This window comes from Homo sapiens, chromosome 3 (genome assembly GCF_000001405.40).
Source record: "Homo sapiens chromosome 3, GRCh38.p14 Primary Assembly".
In the NCBI taxonomy this organism is placed as follows: Eukaryota; Metazoa; Chordata; class Mammalia; order Primates; family Hominidae; genus Homo; species Homo sapiens.
In genome coordinates this window covers 33,786,838-33,807,320 of record NC_000003.12, presented here as the reverse complement: position 1 = coordinate 33,807,320, position 20,483 = coordinate 33,786,838, and the positions used below count along the sequence as shown (strand labels likewise).

General features: G+C 40.8%; 1 protein-coding gene and 1 long non-coding RNA gene across 7 annotated transcripts in view, besides 5 other annotated features; one reads left to right on the top strand and one right to left on the bottom strand.

Annotated features, from left to right (window-relative positions):
• Nucleotides 1-8,691, bottom strand: part of PDCD6IP (programmed cell death 6 interacting protein) — a 71,074-nt gene extending 62,383 nt beyond the window's left edge. For 3 of the 5 annotated variants that reach the window (NM_001162429.3, NM_013374.6, NM_001256192.2), the window contains exon 1: nucleotides 8,384-8,691. In NM_001162429.3, coding sequence (NP_001155901.1) covers nucleotides 8,384-8,592 — 209 coding nt within the window. In that variant the 5' untranslated portion in view covers nucleotides 8,593-8,691. Of the gene's footprint in view, nucleotides 1-7,782; nucleotides 8,359-8,383 lie in introns of those variants that run through there. The other 2 variants (XM_011533252.2, XM_047447042.1) reach the window with 1 other exon arrangement.
• Nucleotides 7,995-8,528: an enhancer, noted in NCBI's record as "H3K27ac hESC enhancer chr3:33840285-33840818 (GRCh37/hg19 assembly coordinates)". NCBI's record gives its function as "activates a minimal SCP1, AML or CMV promoter by ChIP-STARR-seq in naive H9 embryonic stem cells {active_cell/tissue: H9 hESC(naive)}" and the evidence as "EXISTENCE:reporter gene assay evidence [ECO:0000049][PMID:30033119]".
• Nucleotides 7,995-8,824: a biological region, named in NCBI's record as "H3K27ac hESC enhancer GRCh37_chr3:33840285-33840818".
• Nucleotides 8,475-8,824: an enhancer, noted in NCBI's record as "active region_19652". NCBI's record gives its function as "activates an Ori minimal core promoter by ATAC-STARR-seq in GM12878 lymphoblastoid cells {active_cell/tissue: GM12878}" and the evidence as "EXISTENCE:reporter gene assay evidence [ECO:0000049][PMID:35858748]".
• On the top strand, nucleotides 8,802-13,677 carry PDCD6IP-DT (PDCD6IP divergent transcript). 2 transcript variants are annotated; one of them, NR_183731.1, is made up of 2 exons: nucleotides 8,802-8,926; nucleotides 9,299-13,677. It is a non-coding gene; the product is annotated as a PDCD6IP divergent transcript (long non-coding RNA). The 2 variants fall into 2 exon arrangements; NR_183730.1 differs by having other exon boundaries at nucleotides 8,802-9,144.
• Nucleotides 17,175-18,072: an enhancer, noted in NCBI's record as "NANOG-H3K4me1 hESC enhancer chr3:33830741-33831638 (GRCh37/hg19 assembly coordinates)". NCBI's record gives its function as "activates a minimal SCP1, AML or CMV promoter by ChIP-STARR-seq in naive H9 embryonic stem cells {active_cell/tissue: H9 hESC(naive)}" and the evidence as "EXISTENCE:reporter gene assay evidence [ECO:0000049][PMID:30033119]".
• Nucleotides 19,801-19,860: a silencer, noted in NCBI's record as "silent region_14192". NCBI's record gives its function as "represses an Ori minimal core promoter by ATAC-STARR-seq in GM12878 lymphoblastoid cells {active_cell/tissue: GM12878}" and the evidence as "EXISTENCE:reporter gene assay evidence [ECO:0000049][PMID:35858748]".

Below are 20,483 nucleotides of genomic sequence, written 5' to 3'. Positions count from 1 at the left end.
TGGAGTGGTGCTCACAGGCCATACAAAAACAGGCAGCTGAGCAGGCCTTATTTTGCTGACCCTTGCTATAAAGTAAACAAGGAAGGGAGTAGTAGGAAATGAGGTTACTTCCTCTGCAAATGGGTGAGGAAAAGAAGAATGGCTAAACTGAATGCACTAAAATTTTTATACCCATTCTCTTCACCCCAAAGTTTTTGAGGCCAACTAACAAAACCTGAGCTGTATGGGGGGAACAGGGCATTTATATCCTGTAACTGAATGATTAGAAGCTATGTGATGAAACCCTCAAAGTAAAATGGCTATCTTAGGACAGATTATAGAAGTTGAAATAAAAGTACAACAGGAGGGCAATCACTGGAAATCAACAATGTCTGATCAGCATGGAGAAAACCCCAACAAAATGAGAGAGATCAACAAATGCTTTACAAAAGAAAGCAGCCATTGCTAACTGCAGTTACCATGAGCAAAATCTGTTCCAGGAGATCCAACTACCATAAGCTACTCCTTCAATATAATTCCACAAGGTATTATCCCTCATAGTTCAGCCCAGATCACAAGCATCAAAGTTCTCTAGATAGGGAATCCACAGAAACAAGAGAATCTACCACACCCTTCTCTTTAACATTTAAGTACACTTTACTATAGCAGCAGACTCTAGCCTAGGATGTATCTCTAACAAAGTAGACCTAGGCTGCAAGTTTTGTATAAGTAGGCACAGGGAAAGCCAGTATGCTAAGCCAGGAGTTGGCAAAAACTAGCACATTGTGGAAAATAATGGTGCAAAAAAATTGGTGTCTTCATAGATTCTATTTTAGAAATAAGCGAATTTTTTTAACCAAAACTATAAAATCCCAAATATATTTAAAAGGTATAATGTCACAGTCTTTCAAGTCAGATAGCCCTGAGTTTGAATCCCAACTCTTAGCTATGTGATCATGAAAAAATTATTCAATTTCTCTGAACCTTTCCTAAAGAGTAATAATACCTCCTTTAAGCGTGAGGAATAAATGGTACTGTATATGAAGTGCTTAAAATAGTTCCTGGACACACAGGAGTACATGTATGACAAATGGTAGTTACAGATTACTGTTTTGCAACAATGGAGAAGTACTTATATATGTTCTCCAGTATTTTATAAAACTCAACCACTTTGGCACAAATATATAATAACTCAACTTAAAAATCTCATGGGGAAAAAGAAACTAGGAAATAAATACATTTCTTTGAAATACCACAAATAGGTACAGGACAAATTCCCATTAGAAATTCTAGTTTAGGCTGGGCACGGTGGCACACGCCTGTAATCCCAGCACTTTGGGAGGTCGAGACAGGCGGATCACAAGGTCAGGAGATCGACACCATCCTGGCTAACACGGTGAAACCCCGTCTCTACTAAAAACACAAAAAAATTAGCCGGGCGTAGTGGTGGGCGCCTGTAGTCCCAGCTACATGGTAGGCTGAGGCAGGAGAATGGCGTGAACCTGGGAGGTGGAGCTTGCAGTGAGCCAAGATCGCGCCACTGCACTCTAGCCTGGGCGACCGAGTGAGACTCCATCTCAAAAAACAAAAAAAGAAATTCTAGTTTAAAAAAAAAAAAAAATTGGCCAGGTATGGTGGCTCACACCTGTAATCCCAGCACTTGGGAGGCCAAGACAGGAGGACTGCTTGAGTTCAGGAGTTCAAGACCAGCCTGGACAACACAGCAAGACCTCCTCTCTACTAAAAATTTAATAATTAGCCAGGTATGGTAGTATGCACCCACTTGGGAGGTTGAAGTAGGATTGCTTGAGCCCAGGAGATCGAGGCTGCAGTAGGCTATTGTGGCGCCACTGTACTCCAGCCTGGGCAGCTGAGCAACTGAGCCAAGGCCCTGTCTTAAAAAAACAAAAATGTTAAAATTTTTAAATAAAGATTAAATTCTATATTTAATTTTTAAAAAGGAAAAAAAAATTTTTTTTTTTTTTTTGAGACAGAATCTCACTCTGTCGCCCAGGCTACAGTGCAGTGGTGTGATCTCGGCTCACTGCAACCTCCACCTTCCGGGTTCAAGCAATTCTCTGCCTCAGCCTCCCGAGCAGCTGCGATTACAGGCACCCGCCACCATGACCGGCTAACTTTTTGTATTTTTAGTAGAGACAGTGTTTCACCATTTTGGCCAGGCTAATCTCGAACTCCTGACCTCGTGATCCACCCGCCTCAGCCTCCCAAAGTGCTGGGATTACAGGCATGAGCCACCACACCCGGCCGGAAAAGAATTTTTTAATTTAAGGGGAAGGTGTGGGGATCAAGAACAACCAATCCACATGGCCAAAATAATACTGCAATGCTAATTCACACAACCCTATTCAGCTGCAATCTGTATTTAGGGATGTGCAACTCCAGACCACCAACTAGAGGATGAAACAAGAGAATCAGAAAAGCTGGGCCAGAGATATTGGCTGGAGTTCATAGATTCTTTGTGAACTTTATTTTCACACTTCTTTCTTCACCCAATTTAACACATGAAAAATCATTAATCAAGCACTACTGCAGCAGAGAGTATGGCAAAAAGTAACTAGCTGGGGAATCAAGAGGTCAGGATCTTAGTCCAGTTCTGCCATAAAGATAGCTTTGTGGGCTTAAATCTCCTGTGTAAAGCACCTCAGAAGATTCTTCTTACAGATACACAGAATGATGATAGTCCTGATAAGATTTACTAAACACCAGAAAAGTCAAAACACAGAAAAACAAATCAGATTTTAAATCTTCCCATATGTTTATTCACCTATGTGGAATAAAATTACGGAGCCAAAAAGGTCTGCCAATTACAGATATTCCTTGAGACCAGGGACCAAGTATATCTTTATATCCTCCACATTGTCTCCTACAGTATGGTTCACACAGACTCTCCATTAGTATTTGGTTAACAAATTGTAGCAACGTCATTGTGCTAATATTATCTCAATATTGAGACAGCCAGGTGGGAGGGGGTCCCTGGAGAAATTCCAACCAGCCTGTTCACTAAGGTGGAGCCTTGGGAAATTCCATAGGGAGGAGACTGGCCCCTCCTCTTCCTGTGCGGAACCTGAGATTCAAGCTGCAGGCGGGATGTGCTCTAACTGGGACTCTAGCTTTGTGAGAGTTCCTGTTTCCCCCTTTTCTTCCTTTTCACCCAATAAAACCCTGCTTTACTCACCCTTCAAACCGTTTGCAAGCCTAAATTTTCATGGCCGTGGGACAAGGAAAAGTTCTGCAAAGAGTATGTTCACCACCAAACCAACAACGAGAATCCAAACAACAGTTATGAAGTAAAACAGAACATTTTCTTTACTGATCTATAAAACACTACCATGTAGAAAATATTTCAGAAATTAAAAGAGTATTCCATCAACTTCATTTTACAAATGAAAAAGTCAGTAGGATGCAACCAATACAGACTGAGAAAAAAATACACAGTCCTAAAATATATTAGAAAAACCAAAAAGATGGAAAACTAACCAATCAATACAAAAAGATAGAAAAAAGGAACAAAGAACATTTTTTAAAAAAATGAATGACAAGGGCAGAAAACCAACCAAAAAGCCTTGGTTTTAAACAAAGAAAAGGTGGCTCCAAACCTTTGGCAAATCTGAGGGAGGAAAATCACACATAACACATGCACAACATTAGGAATAAGAAAAAAAATGTTAACTACAGATTATGAGATGACAACACTTTTGGGAGAACTTCCATGTGACAAAAGATAGAATAAACACAGTTGAGAGACAAGAAACAGATTGGAAGATTTTTGCAACATACCTAATGAAAAAAGTATAAATATCCAGAAAATGCTACAACTCCTACAAATTAGTAAGGAAAAAACAACTCAATAGAAAATGGGCAAAAGAAAAGAACAAGCAATCACAGAAAAAGAAACAAAGTGGCCAGTAAACAAAAACTGTTCAACCTCAGTAAAATAAGAGGAATGCAAACTAAAGGTACTATCTCTCACCCATCAGTTTAGCAAAAAGCAATAAATTAAATTATTAATCAGTACGTATTAGCAAGGATATGGAAGAATAAAGTACTCCCATATACCTGCTGATGAGAATGTAAATTGTTACAAGCACTGTGGAGAGCTGAAAATGCAAACAAGTTCCTCTTACAGTTAAACAAATAAATCTGAATAAACATCCTTCTTTGCTCCCCGCCAAAACCCACTAAAACAAGAATTTAAAAATGTAAAAGATGTACATGAACATGGACAAAAAGAACGGGAAATGACACACAGGATATAAGAGGTTTCAACAAAATTTACTAAAAGGTGAAAAGTGAATGAAAAAGAGAAAGCCAAAATCTAACTGGCTAAGAGGGAAGGGAGCCAAAGCAGAAGCCAAATCATGCCAGAGAAGCCAGAAAAGGATCTGAATTAAGAAACATGAGGTACCTCTGAAGGTAGTTCAATGTGAGGCTGGAACGAGAAGGTATGGTTGAAAATCCTTCAAAGAAAACTTCAGGCTCCCAGATCCTCTACTCTGAAGGTAGGTTCACTCTCAAAAAAACGTCAGAGATTGGCCGGGCACAGTGGCTCACGCCTGTAATCCCAGCACTTTGGGAGGCCGAGGCGGGTGGATCACCCGAGGTCAGGAGTTCCAGACCAGCCTGACCAACATGGAGAAAGCCCGTCTCTACCAAAAATACAAAATTAGCCAGGCAGAGTGGTTCATGCCTGTAAATCCCAGCTACTCAGGAGGCTGAGGCAGGAGAATCGTTTGAACCCGAGAGGCGGAGGTTGTGGTGAGCCGAGATCATGCCACTGCACTCCAGCCTGGGTAACAAGAGCAAAACTCCACCTCAAAAAAAAAAAAAAGAAAAAAGAAAAAAATGTCAGAGATATCAAATATAACTAAGGTGGAGATCAAGCACTGCTAAGTGGGGTAGGGAGTGCTAATTGACTACATCATTATCAGTCTATCCTATTCCTTATTAACAAAACTGTGTCCCTTTAGCTGAGTATACAGCTGCTCATAATGAAAATTCCTTTTCCTAGCATCCTATCAGAAGGACACACAAAATGGCCGGTAACATATAGGCAGGGTGTTGTGGAACAGTTGCCAGGAAACACCCTAAAGGGCGAGCCCCGTGCCTTTCTCCATCCTACTACCTGGAACTTGGATATGATTGCAACCTGGACCTGAGAACAATATTCTAGGTTTCAAACAGCAGAAAGCTGAAAGGAATCTGAGCCCCAATTAACTCCACAGAAACACTACACCAGCCCTGGGCTACCAGAACTACCTACCTGCCAACTTTTTACAAAATAAAATCTTAACTCAGATAATTTGGGATCTACCACACAGAAATGAACCTAACCCTAATGCAGGTGTCATACTAAAAATAGATGTACCTGATAGACTGCATACATGATTGTTAAGATCCCCAACCTCCATTCCCCAGGATAAAATTTAGAAAGCTGATAAGCAGACTTTTTCATGGAAGACTAGAAGCTTTCTCTCTAAAGAAACTGATCACCACAAAAGAAATTACACAATGCTGGTAAATGGTATATCTGGAGCTTCAAATAAAATACAAAATAAAAATAAAAAACCAGCAGGGTTCCCATTTGATCACCCTAGGTCACCATTTACCAAGGTCTAATCAATTTTTAGTAAAAGCCACTTTATAAAGGAAGAAGTATCATATAAAAGGGTTTTTTGTTGTTGTTGTTTTGTTTTGTTTTGAGACAGCGTCTCAGTATGTAGTTCAGGCTGGTCTCCAACTCGTGGGCTCTAGTGATCCTTCTGCCTCAGCTGGAATTATGAGTGCATGCTACCACACCCAGAACAAATGAGTTTTTAAGTACTCATTCTCATTATTATAATATGCATAAATGTATATTTTAGGAAATTTTAATAGAACACCTACAAGTTAGTAATAAGAAAACAAGTCTATCACTGGAGCAATATATGGAGCTGCATATCAGGACTTATCAAGCTGGCTTCAATTATTTAGGAATTAGTTTAAACTCTGTTTTTCAAAGTTCATTAGTTTAAAAAGTTCATTAAGTTAAAAAATTAATGTTAAGTTTACACAATTATCCAAACATAATTATTAAAAATAAGATATTCTGCCGGATTTGAATGAACATCACACAACTGATTCACATCTAATTTTACAGCGTATATACCTACAAAACTTTTGTACCTACCTCCATTATAAACTTTAGTAATATCTCCAAGCTTACCCTAACCCCTCTAGAAGCCCAAAAAGTGAAAATACTTAATATTTGTTGAATTAATGTGGCAGGAGGGGATTATACAGAGGTGACTAAAGAAACATGGTTAGTTTCAAAGAGACTATATCTACAACAGGTCCACTACCTAGGAACAGTTCACACATTTAAGTCTGGTAAAAAGAATAAAGGAAGGAACAAATGAATTAAGTTTTAAAGTTGACAGGAGAACCGTATCCAAACCATTATCCACCAACCTCCCATGTCTGTTAGCTTAAAACCCATGCACCAAGTGCTTCTGAAGACCCCAAATCTGAGGGCTGGAACCAAATTTGATATATTCAACAAGATTTTTATCACAGGGCTCATTATACCACAACTATGTTTTCTTAATATTACTAATGGAAAATCCTCACTGAATGCTATTCATGCCTACATAAAAATTACCTTGAAATTGTTTAATTATGTTAATTCTAAAGAATGGCTAAGTATTTCTAGGTTAACTTTAAAAAAAATGCTTATGCTATTAGACTAATGATCCTTGCAGCCCAACAGTTGTAGCTCTAAAATTTGACACCAAGGGGTCTTAATTCCTCTGAGCAATCTATTCAGTACCCCTTCCTTCGGAGAACCAACCCTTCCCCAGTCCGGACTCATCTTGCTTTGATCCATGGGGTAAGGAGAAATTAAACCGGCTGGATGACTCAGATAAGGGCAATTAACTTAGCCCATTTCCCACCATCATAAATGGGTGCAAACAAACCCAGGAGCCTCCCATGGACTTCCACCAGAGCTAAGGAGAAAAGCACTCCCTTCTGTAAGATACTGAGTGTTGCGGACGATTGTTATTACACTACAGCCATCCCTCTCAATACATGAACAAAGCTTTCGAGGGAAGCATCACGGAGGCAAGACGATCTCCAGTGATACCTAAAGCTAAGGAAGGAATATCCCTAGACTTTTCAGTTAGCAGAATAAGTCTTACTTTTTTTTTTTTTTTTTTTTTTTTTTGAGATGGAGTCTCACTCTGTCGCCCAGGCTGGAGTGCAGTGGCGCGATCTCGGCTCACTGCAAGCTCCGTCTCCCAGGTTCACACCATTCTCCTGCCTCAGCCTCCCGAGTAGCTGGGACTACAGGCACCCGCCACCACGCCCGGCTAATTTGTTGTATTTTTAGTAGAGATGGGGTTTCACCGTGCTAGCCAGGATGGTGTCGATCTCCTGACCTCGTGATCCGCCCGCCTCGGCCTCCCAAAGTGCTGGGATTACAGGCGTGAGCCACCGCGCCCGGCAGAATAAGTCTTTTCTTAGCTCAAGCTAGTTTAGCCTGGGTTTCTGCTACTTGGATTGGAATACAATTGTGATTCTCCTGTGAAACAAGTAGAATATACTATACGGAGAAAACGAGATTAACAAGGTATGCAAAAGAAATGTTTAACTATAAAATCGTAAAAAATGTTCTTATAACTATTAAGTATCATGAAAGGAACCCTCATTAAATCAGCATGAGCTAAATAAGCGTTTGCTAAAATAACAAATTTACTCTACTGTGTATATATCTGTTTGTGAACAAACTGCTTTTAAACAACCTACCTTGAACGGTTCAACTATGTAACTAGAGTTTTATTTCAAATAGTTGTAGCTCCTAACTTTCAGAATTCTCCATCTATCATTTGATTATTTTGAACTGAGGAAGACGGTCCATTTCATGTGGACAATGTGATGAGCTGATCAGACATTTGGTCCAGTGTCCCAATTCCCCCACTTCCCCCACTGCCTTCAAGCAACTACTATTATGAAATCAAAATGTGGCCCAAGAAAGACAGTGATGGAAAAATGGGGCGAAAGGGGAAGCTTCAGTTAGAGACCCAAAAAAGTGAAGACTAGTTCTAAGTAAATGTGGCAAAAGAGATCAGTACAGGGCAGACTGCTGCTCCCAGGTATCTGATCCACGGAGCCCTCGCCGACCAAGGGCTAGAGCAGACGTGCAGGCAGGACAAGCGGGCAGTCACAGCGGGCCTGCAGGGCGGGTCCTGCTCACCAGCAAAGAATGCAGACCACACCTACGCGCCTGGTCAGGCCGGGACGGGGCGGCTCCGCCCAGGTTACAGGATTGAAGGAAGGGGGGAGACGGGAAGAGGAGCGGCGAGCGACGGCTGGCAGACAACCTACCCACTCCCAGCCCCGCGCCCACCTCAGGAGCGTCTCGAGCGCGCCCTCGTGCTTGTCCAGCGGACGACCGACTGCGGCGCGGCGCAGCTTGCTGAGCTCCTCCGCCGCGCGGCAGTACTGGGCCTGCTCTTCCCCGCCGCTTGGGTAAGTCTGCTGGATGAACTTCACCAGCGGCTTGGCCAGGTCCACCTCTGAGGTCTTTTTCAGCTGCACCGAGATGAATGTCGCCATGATCAGCGCCTCCGCCGCCGTTCGGGCCAAACAGACCGCGGACAGCTTACGAGGGCCGAGGAGAGAGAGGTACTGGGCTGGCGGACTGGCGGACTGACTGGCTGACAGACTTGCGCTCCGCCTGCGTTCCGGGTCCGGCAACTTCCGGGAGCTCCAGCGCAGGCGCACTGGATGCGGGGTCCTTAAGCTGTCCGCGGTCACGTGAAGGTGTCGCGGCGGCTACGCCCACCTGGACCCAGTTTACCCTGTACTGTGCTGCAAAATATTACTTTCTCCCCATCTGGAATTCTTCCCTTCCTCCTTCCTGCCGCAGTGGTGTACTGAGCACTTTCACGTAAGAGTATTCCTCCACTCGAACAACCCCCCGGAGAAGTACTGGTGTCACTGCCACCTGCGAGAGTTTGCGGCTACCTCCCCAAGAGGCAGTCCCAGGGTTATTGTGACCTATGATGTTTATTCAACTACTGTTGACGGGCTGCTGTGCACAGGGAACCTAGTAGGCAAGACCCCTGCCATCGTGCAGCTTACTGTCAGGTTGACACAGACCTTAAGGTAAACGGAAAAAGTATCAGGAAAAAAACAGGGTGCTTGGGACTTAGGAGATGTTAAGATCGCTTGGAGGACCCTAATTTAAATAAGATAAAGTAGGTTTTCTCCGAGTAGGTTAACTGAAAATGAACCTGTGTCTCTGGTTGCTGTTTTGTAGAAAGAACAAAATTTTAAATAAATTAAAAACGACACCTGTAATTTGAGAAGATGCTTGATATCAGAAGAGGAGAAGAGTGGAGAGGGGTGGAGTGGCAAAGGAGAGCCTCCAAACCAAAAGCCTGCGGCAGAGGCCCTAGGAGGCAAGCACTTAACCATGTTTCAGGACTAGAAACGAAACATGTGACAAGACCTTTAAAAACAAATAGAATGGGATGGAATAAAGTTGGATGAGTAAGCAGGCATCAAATCATTCAGAAACTTGTTGTCCAAGTTGAAGAATTTGTTTAGTATTGTATAATAAATGCAGAGGAAGCTATATACACTTATAATTTACATTTTTTAAAGGCCACGTTGTAGCTCAATCGGATAGTTTGTCTTTTGATGGGATGTAGTATACAGTATCATCATGGTATATTCCAGGCAAAAATATTTAACTTGAATCTGTCAAGCCTTTGCATCTAACACAGTTTATAAAAAATACAACAGATAGATGAACAAACTAAATGATGCCAGAGGAAGTAACTAGACAGATCCAGAAGGTGAAACATTCTGCAGGATAACTGGCCCATCTCTTCAACAATTTGTCATGATAAAAGCAACTGCTTTATGAAAAGAAATTTAAGGGACATAACAGTTTGAATTGGATCCTGGTTTGAACAGACTGTCTATAAAATGCATTTTCAGGACCATTAAAGAAATATGAATGTAGATGGACTGAGTATTGGATAAAATAGAACTGTATTGCCATGGAAAAGATCATTAACTGAAAAGAGCAAGTCACGAAATAGTATGTTACAGCATCTCATTTTGGTTTAAAAATGCACATATATGTATTTATGTACAACTAAAAAAATAGTGGGCTTATACCCTAAGGTGTTAGTATTGGTAATCTTTGGAAGTGGAAATGTGTATTTTTTTCTTTGTGTTTGCCTATCTTTTTCATTGTAACTTTTGCAGCACATAGACTACTTTCATTATAGTAAAAGTTTATTTTACCACAATTTTTTTTTTTTTAGAAAGAGTCTCACTCTGTCACCCAGGCTGGAGTGCAGTGGCACAATCTCAGCCCACTGCAACCTCCACCTCCCAGGTTCAAGCTATTCTCCTGCCTCAGCCTTCTGAGTAGCTGGGACTACAGGTGCACACCACATGCCTGGCTAATTTTTGTATTTTTAATAGAGACTGGATTTCGCGATGTTGGCCCGGCTGGTCTCGAACTCCTGGCCTCAAGTGATCCACCCGCTTTAGCCTCCCAAAGTGCTGGGATTACAGGCGTGAGCCACTGCACCCGGCCTATTTTACCACAATTTATAAAAATTTTTGTTTATTTTAATTAAGCTATTCTATGTTAAAATAAGTAGCCACCCTTGGCTGATGCATAAAGAAAAAATTAGAGGAAGGAAAGAATGGAGGCAAGGAGGCAAATCATGAGACCATTTCAGAAATCAAGACGAAATCAGGAAAGCTAACATTAGCAAGAGTGAACCAAACTGATAATATCTTTGAGTTTAAAACTGAAGAATTTACCAATGAACTGCATAGGAAAGTAAAGAAAAGAGAGTGGTCAAGATAGGTCCTGGTTTTGGGGCCTGAACATCTGAGTGGTTAGTAGAATCATTACCAGTTGATAACCCATGGAAGAGGGTGGGGGATGGGTGGTGTCTTGTAGGTTGGTTGACAGGACTGACCCATTGGGAAGATAACGAAGAAGCAAAGTATATGAAAAGAGGAGAAAGGGTAACCAGAGGAGGGAGGATACAAAGGGAGTGATTAGCCATCAGAAAGATGAGGGACATGACATTTGTTGAGGCAGATGGCGGAGAAAAGAAAGTTAACATAGATGTGGTTAGTTTTGTGGCATTGACCAAAGGAAGATTAAGGTGATACTATCTGATGGCTTGGAATGAAAACCAAACTCCCTGCCACAACATGATGATCTTTCTCTGCAACTTCATATTTTGCCTCTTGTTCCTCATTTGTTACCACTGAGTCACAATGGTCTTTTTAGTTTCTCAAACACACCAAGATCTTTCTTGCCTCATGTGACCTAGAATGTTTTCTCCCTTTCTTCATATCTCAGTTGAAAGGTCTCCTCTCCTCATCATCATACTATCTAAAGTAGATTCCCTCCCTTGTTAACCTCTAGCGCAGCCATTAGTTCCTTCATAACACTTACCCTAACTTGCAAGTATTTTGTTTGTTGATATAATTTTTATCTGACTTCCCCACTAAAATGTAAGCTCCATGAGGGCAAAAATTGTGTGTTTTGTATACTGATGCATCTCTAGCACTTGGTATAGCAGGCATTCAATAAATATCATTAAATAAGTTTCACCCTTGTAAAAAAAAAAAATATATATATATAAAATATATTCTCTACTTCCAAAATAACACACTTTCACCAACAACAAGCACTCCAGCTAATTAGGCAATAGGCCAATAAGCAAAGAATTATGGTATATTAGTCAAGATTGGCTAGCTTATGTTCTGACAATAAACAATTTCAAAATCTCAGTTTCAATTTTAAACTCAAAGATACTAATAAACATTTGTTCTTTGCTCACACAAAGTCTAATATGGAACAGGCTTAGAGTTGTCCTCCAACCAGTGTCTGAGCAATCCAGACCACTTTGATCTTGTAACTCTGCCATCCCAACATGAGATTCCACTTTCACTGCAGAAGAGGAAATCTGTAGCATCATGCAGCAGCTTGTCACTACCTCAGCCCTCCTACTTCCACTTGCATTTCACTAGCTAGAACCTTTCACATGGCTCCACCAAACTGCAATGGGACTGGGAAGGGAGAATCAGATATTAGGGAGCATTTATAATGCCTTCCAAGGGTGTGTTTCACTGCTTCCAAACTTGCTTATGATGATGTTTTTCATTTATGTAATGAAATGCCATATGTTCTTAGTGTGTATTCTCAGCATAACGAGTACATTTGGAGAATATTAAGTCAGTGGACTTTCCTTCTTGAAAATTCCTGGTTCTGGGCCTATCATTAACCCCACTGATTGAACCAGTGGAAATAGTTGCCTCTTCGAATGGAGAGAACCCTGCTGAAGGCAGCTTTGAGTTTCAAAATAGTGTGTTTCAAGTCCACATGGAGACGATAGCCTGAAAGTAAGCACTTATGATTTTTGGAGGAGTCTTTGTTATTAAGGAGAAAAGAGGCTTACAGAAGTCAGATTCAGAAGACTGTAGTATTTTTACAATAAATGAGAGTAAACAGTATAAGGATTTGATGTAAGGGAAGTTCCTGCAGTGCAAGAAAGAAAGTCCTTTTGGTGCTGAGCGGAACAGTCTAAGAGAGAAAAGGTGAAGAACAAAAGGAAAATGTAAATGTGGTATTCACACTTCCCTACTCCACACTCAGGATAAACCTAGAGTATGAGGTAGAGGCGGGAATCTAGAGGGGAGGAAGCATAGAATAGGAACACCCAAATAGACTTGATGAAACAAAAAACATCAAGGATGGCTCCCGTGTCACCTGGGAAGACACACTTCATGTAAGGAATGGAAAAAAGGCAATGGTAAGGGACAGGGGCCCTGGATTTTTTACAACATGCGATAGAGAACTATTTGTCTCCTTAATTTATTTAACTTTAAAAAATAATAATGAATGAAAGAAAAATTACCCATTTTTCAAATATGGGTGTGTAAGTTTTTTCCACTTTGTACAAAAAATTTTAAAGAAACGAAAACTGCTGAACACCTTATATTCAGAATTACTCCCTGTATAAGCCCATTCCAATTCCATATACTGCTGATTAAATTTCCATCAGTTGGCAGTTCTCTAATATCAGTTTCACTGCTATTTAACTAACTACTGCCCTTTGCTACCAGTGTCTCTCTTGGATGAGAGTCACTTTACTTGAATAAGATAACTTCTGAGAATAAATCTATGCACTATTTTGGAAGAATTGCTCTATAGAGTAAAAAATAATTCTGGATAATTGAAAGTTATCTTGTGAGTATCTGGACATTAAGGATACATTTCAAGACTCCTGTTTTCACTAAAATCCAATATTTGTTTAAGCACTTCAAGTTAAAGAGGAGCACCTTCCCCTTTCACCCTGACTATCGTTGTTAATTCGTTTTTGAAGCTATATAAGAACGTTTCTTTAATCGGTTTTCCCTTAGGCATACATTAGCTCTCTGTTCAAGACTTAGTAGCAGAGAGTAGTAAGTAAATGGTTATTAGTGGTTCTTCATATAAAACACATTTGAGTTTCTTAGAAGAAAACTATGCATAAAGATTACTTTCAGATATCATGTCTGTAGTTCGTTAATAGAGAAGTTTCTCTGAACGTGTGGAACACTGTAATAAGATAAATAAATTTTTAAAAAGAAAAAGTAAGCATATATACAAAATGTATGTAATTTCATTTGTCTTCACTTATTTAATATTTATAACCATACATTAAATGAAAACCAAATCCTACAAGCTTCATGGTACAAAGTTTTGGTAATACTTGGATGACCAGACTAAGTTATTCAGCAGATATTTTTTGAGCTTATACTGTGTGCCAAACAAAATGTAGTTCAAGAGAATTCTATGACCAATCTATTAATCTATTGTATATATTTACAGAGGTCTTTAATCCACCCTTATATAAGGTAGTTCAGCAAACAGTTCATAGGAGGAGGTCTAGGAAAGCAGTTAAGGAAAGTCCTAAAATGGCAGCTCTGCAGCAAGCAGAAAGTACAACTAGCCCAGAATAAGGAGAGGGTGGAGGGGCGCAGGAGGAAGATCCAATAGAGGGAAAAAAAAGGTTGAAGGGATTAGATAGAATAAAAACCACCAGGGTTCTCGTTGGAAAAATTATTCTTTTCCCTTTGTAATTAACAACTAATTTGTGGGAATATAATTCGAGGCTATTAAACATACTGTTCCACATTAAACTTTCTTCCACTAGTTTTAGCATACTTCGATGATTCTTCCATGAATCTAATATTTCTGTGATGATTGCAAAATGGTAATTTTCTTATCCATTATTCTGCCTATATCTATTAGCTGACATTATTCTAGAAAGAAGAATTTTCTTTTCTCCCTTATTTATTCATTTATATGTTTATACCAGCATGGACCCATAGATTTTTATTTAATTTGGTAGATTATAATCTGTTATTATTATTTATTTTGACGCTCAGATTGTCCAAGATTTGACTGATATGAACACCCTCAAGCTGGCTCCTGTGTTCTTTTTCTTCCAATATTTTCTTTTCTTTTCTTTTCTCTTCTTTTCTTTGTTTTTTTGTTTTGTTTTTTTGAGACAGGGTCTGGCTCTTTTGCCCAGGCTGGAGTGCAGTGGTGCAGTCATGGCTCACTACACCCTCAACCTTCCAGGCCCAGGCTCAAGCAATTATCCTACCTCAGCCTCCCAAGTAGCTAGGACTACAGGTGCACACTACCATGCCCGGCTAATTTATTTGTTTATTTTTTGTAAAGACGGAATATCCCTATGTTGCCGAGGCTGGTCTCAAACTCCTGGACTCCAGGGATTCTCCTGCCTCAACTTCACAATTCATTTTTAAAATTTCAGCCACAGCATAGAGTTTTGCAATAAACACTCACCTACCCACCACCTAGATTCTAACATTAACATTTTACTATGCATGCTTTATCTCACATTTGTCCATCTAATCTTCCCTCTATCCACCCATAAATCTACCTTGCTTTTTGGATCCATTTCATAGTAAGTTGCAGTCATCAGAAAGGAAAAGTAAAATAAGTAAATTTATTGGTAAATAGGCAATTGATGGGAGTCAAAAGATATTTAAATGATATCAATGAATGTCACTTAAAGTTAAAAAATCGAATAGCAGAAGGAGGTAAAGAAAAAAGGAAGTAAAGAAAAAGACTTTTAAAATGACTCACAAAAGAAAACCCAATGTGATAGATTATAAAATTGGCCACAAACTCTTCCTCTCCCTTTATCATGATTTTGCAGTGTGACATTGCAGATCTTCCCACCAGGAAGTGGAGTCTTTTTCTGCACCCTTTAAGTCTAGGTCGTTGATGTGAGCTGCTTTGGCCAATGGGGCATTAGCAGTTGTGATGCAAGCAGACACTTCAGTCATCAGGGTTTGTCCTCTCTTACTGCACTTGCAACCCCGTGACCTCCATGTGTACCGTCTTGCCTGCTGGATTATGAGAGACGTGGTTGAGTCACTCTCCTAGCCCTAACCAACAGTCTGCTAATTGTCAGACATATGAACAAGGCTATCTTAGATCATCCAACAACCAGGCAACACCCTAGATGACCTCAGACACAGAAGCAAGCACCTGAGAGATCAACTGAGCCAATCTAGACCAGAACTGTTAAGCCAACCTACAGAATTATGAGCTAAATAAATGGCTGGTTTTTAAGTTTTGGCATGGTTTGTTATGCAACAGAAGCTAACTGATACACTATCATTATGGTACATGCAAGCAACATACCTAAAACAAAATGATTCAGAAAGGCTAAATAGAAAGGAATAGACAGACATACTAGGTGCTGTGGACTGAATGTGTACCCCCAACAGTCACTTCTTGAAATTCAGTTCCAAATGCGATGGTATTTGGAGGTGGGACCTTTGGAAGGTAATTAGATTGTGAGCACAGAGCCCTCATGAATAGGATTAGTGCCCTTCTAAGAAGAGACGCAACAGCACTTGCTTCCTCTCTCACTCTGCTATGTGAGGATACAGTAAAAAGGTGTCTATATGCAAAGCAGTAAGAGGGCACTCACCAAAACCCAATCATGCTGGTACCCTGCTCTTAGACTTCACATCCTCCATAACCGTAAGAAATAAATGTTGTTGAAGCCACCCAATCTATAACAGCTTGAACTAACTAAAACACCAGACAAATGGAAACAATAGGAGTGCAGGGTCGTTCTTTTGATATCAGACAATTCAGACCAAAAAGGCTTAAATGTAATTAAGGACATTTCATAATGCTAAAGGCTAAAATTATCCAGAAAAAAAAATGTAGCTAAAAGCCACAATAAAGATAAGAGTTTGAAATATCAAACTTTTGTATCAGCTAACCCAAAATATCTGTGTACCAAGTAACACAGCAACCACCATCATAAAAAAGAAACTATGGGATTACATTTCCAAGTAATAATTTCTTATCTTTGGCCAACTCTGTGAGTAGCTAAGGGAATTTTAAAAAGTGTTACTCAGGGATGATCCAAAGAAGATACATTTGGAAGCAAGATAGGTGGATTAAGTCTGTGCTGAATAATAATTTGTCATACCTCATTATAAGAGATGTGGCCATGGCCAGGCGTGGTGGCTCACACCTGTAATCCCAACACTTTGGGAGGCCGAGGAGGGCAGATCTCTTGAAGTCAGGAGTTTGAAACCAGCCTGGCCAACATGGTGAAAACCCAATTCTAATAAAAATACAAAAAAATTAGCCGGGCGTGATGGCAGGCGCCTGTAATCCCAGCTACCGAGGAGGCTGGGGCAGGAGAATCACTTGAACCCGGGAGGCAGAGGTTGCAGTGAGCTGAGATTGTGCACTACTGCCTGGGTGACAAAGCGAGACTCCGTCTCATAAAAAAGAGAGAAAGAGAGAGATGGCCTTGTAAAATTACAGGACAGAAGGACAGATGGGAAAATATGTATCTTCTACCTTGTGGTTAGGCTGTACTCTATGAAAATTAATATTTGTCCTTGGGAGATGGTGATTCAGCAGTCCCCTGCAGCACAGTCAGGAGAGCAAAGAAGTTCATTGATGACTCACAAGAGAAGTGAGTTCCTTCACCTGTCCTTTACTTTTTGGTGAAACCTGGATAAAGTTCCCCACGTTCTCCACCCTAACTTGGAATATAAGAGAACTCCTCTACTCTCACCCAGCACAGTCTCCCCCAGAGTATTATTCTAGCTTACTTGTTATTAAATGGGTAATTTTGCTCTCCAGTGGTCATTTTTGGTTGTCACAACTTGGTGGGAGAGGATGCTACTAGCCTCTAGTGGATAGAAGCTAGAGATGCTTCTAAACATTCTACAATGCACAGGACAGTCTCTCATAGCAAAAATATTATCCAGCCCTAAATGTCACTAGTACTAAGGGTAAAATTCGCTTGAAAAGCATATTACTCAGAACAGGCTCCAAATTTTGAGAAATATACCGCTAGGGGTATAGTCTGATCTATTTGGAAGGGGTGGGTTGTTCAGAGAATGAATAAAGTCTTGCTTTGAAAGGTGAGAAGAAGGAAGCATTGTTGCAGAGATATTGGCTCCTAAGAATAGGGGAGAAAAATAAGGAAGTGGAGTACATCAATGAGGGGTGAACTTCCAGAGGAATTTTCCATTAAACTAAAGAGAAATTTACTGCCATTTTCTTTATTGACCCCACCCTCATTAAAGGCAGAATGAAGGAACAAGACAGCAAAGAATGTGACTGGCCCCATGGAAAGGAAGTTGTATCCTATCCTGGGGACTCTGTCCAGATGTTCCAGGTGGTGACAAACAGCAACATAATATAGTGGTTTATGCAGACTTCTTCACACATGTGAGGAGCAAGCTTGGAAGTTCAAAGGGTTTGATGTAAGTTGCTCTGTCTGGTAGGCATTGTGGTTCTTCTACCTCCAATATACTTTCACCCATTCACCCCTCTCTGAAGTTAGTATCCTCCTGATCTCACCCTGGGTGTCCTCGCCTCTCCCTCTTTGTTCTTTGTCTTAAGCCTTAAGGGATAAGAATGTGGCTCAGGCCTTAGATCATTATCATAATCCCGTCCTCAAGCCCCAGTAGTACAGAAAAAAAAAAAATGACCCAATTCTGACTATAGAGATGTAAAAAGAGGTTTGCCAGAGATAACAGAGAAGGAAGCTTCTTAGCTCTTTTGAGGGAATTTCTGAAAGTTACCCCACTCTCTAGATGTGGCTGAAAAAAAGTATCTCTGTGTATTAGGGTTCTTGCACACAATAGAAATGAACTGTGGATAATTTAAGCAGAAAGCAAATTTATTAAAGGATATCAATGAGTTCATAGACTCTCTGGAAGACCAGAGAATCCGGCTTCAGGGCCACACAACAATTTATCCTATTGTAGAACTGCTCCAAAGAAAACACCACCATTGCTCCCAATGAGCACAAATACCCCACTGGCAAGGGTGCTGGTCCCTAGGGACTTTCACCTGAACTTCTGCAACTGCTGCTTCTGGAGCTAGTACTGCCACTCTTGCCAGGAGGGTTTCTGCATGGTGATTGCATCTTCATGTCACCAGATTTCACAGAGCTGCAAGGGAGACTGGGAAACAATTTCTGATTTTCACATTGAGAAAATAAGGACTTATAAGATGGAGAACTCTCCATAGGAAAGGTTTTCAAGGGTGCCTTGTGGCCATAAAGAAAACATATGTCCACTATACCTTGGGAGTTGTTGTCAGCCATCTTATAACTTTGATAGGGAATTAGTTTGATGTCCCAGAAGCCAGAAAACGGAGTTAGAAAGAAACTAGGTGGACGATGATATCTCTGAGATGCTGAGTCAAACCCCAGGTGAAGTCCACTCTATTTCTGGGATCTCGGTCCATTGCCTAATAAATCCCCTCCATTGTTCAAACATGTTTGAATTGGGTTTTTTCATCGTTGTTCTTTACAAATGACTGCATCCTAATTGATACATTAAACAAACAAAAAATCATTAGAAAACACTCCTAAATTCCTTTTTTTTTTTTTTTTTTTTTTTTGAGACAGAGTCTTGCTCTGTTGCCCAGGCTGGAGTGCAATCAATGGTGCGATCTCAGCTCACTGCAACCTCCGCCTCCTGGGTTCAAGCGATTCTCCTGCCTCAGCCTCCCGGGTAGCTGGGATTACAGGCGCCCACGACCATGCCCGGCTAATTTTTGTATTCTTAGTAGAGATGGGGTTTCACCATGTTGGTCAGGCTGGTCTTGAACTGCTGACCTCATGATCCACCCACTTCAGCCTCCCAAAATGCTGGGATTACAGGCATGAGCCACCGTGCCCAGCAACACTCCTAAATTCTTAATGATGGCATTACTGGATTATAGAATATGTGCATTTTAAATTTGGGTATATGTTATCATAGATTATCTTCCAATTTTTTGCACGATTTTTTATTTCCAGTAACAGTTTTTGATAGTTTTCTTATACCCTCACTGACACTAAATTCTGTCCTACTTTTTAATATTTATTAACCTGTTAGATGAAAAGTAGTGTATCATTGTACTTTTAATCTTTAATGAATGAATTGTGAGTGAAATCAAAACTCAACATTCAAATTGATTAGGTGTACACAGTACATCATGTTTTCTACGTGTTTTTGTCCTTCCATGTTAAGTTCAGGAACAGAGTCCAAAAGATCAATCCTGCTTATAACTGACTTTAAGAAAGATAGAAAACTACTCCAGTCCAAACAGCCCCCAGCCTCTGCTACCTCTGCCCCACAAGGTGTCACTGTTGAGACACAGAATATCTACTACAGCACGACCTTTCGCAGGATGGAGCTATTAAAATTTAAATGCTCTGGGCTGGGCGCGGTGGCTCGTGCCTGTAATCCCAGCACTTTGGGAGGCCAAGGCAGGTAGATCACGCGCTACTCGGAAGGTTGAGGCAGGAGAATCGCTTGACCCCGGGTGGCGGAGGTTGCAATGAGCCGAGATCACATCACTGCCCTCCAGCCTGGCTGACAGAGCGAGACTCTGTCACCAAGAAAAAAAAAATGTAAATGCTCTGACAATCTATGGTTCCAAAGTTACAAACACAAAGGGCTTTTTTCCTAGGACACATGTGTGATGCTAGAGTAAAATTTGTAGGAACTGAGCTAGAAACTTGTTGTTGCTGCCAGGATTGTTAAGTCCAGGTAAGCAGTCCAGGCTCCCCTCTCCATGGCGAATTTCTCCTGTCTTTTGCTGCTGCCACGTCAGGTCAGGGCCATTCCAGTCCAGAGGTGATATAGCAATATTAACCCTCCTAAAGGAAGTGATCAGGGGTCTCAGTAACTGCCTTCCCAGAAGCTTAGTCTTTGGGAAAATTTGCTGACTTTCTCCCAGCAGCCTTTGAACTTCATGTACCAAAGAAAATGATGAAAAGAGCTTCATTGTCAATTCCCACATGTCCAGCTACAACCTTCCCCTGTGTTTCCTTACATCTACCTAATTAAAATGATCCCTCGGTATGTCTCCCAGAACAGAGGGCTATTAGGGGATCTCC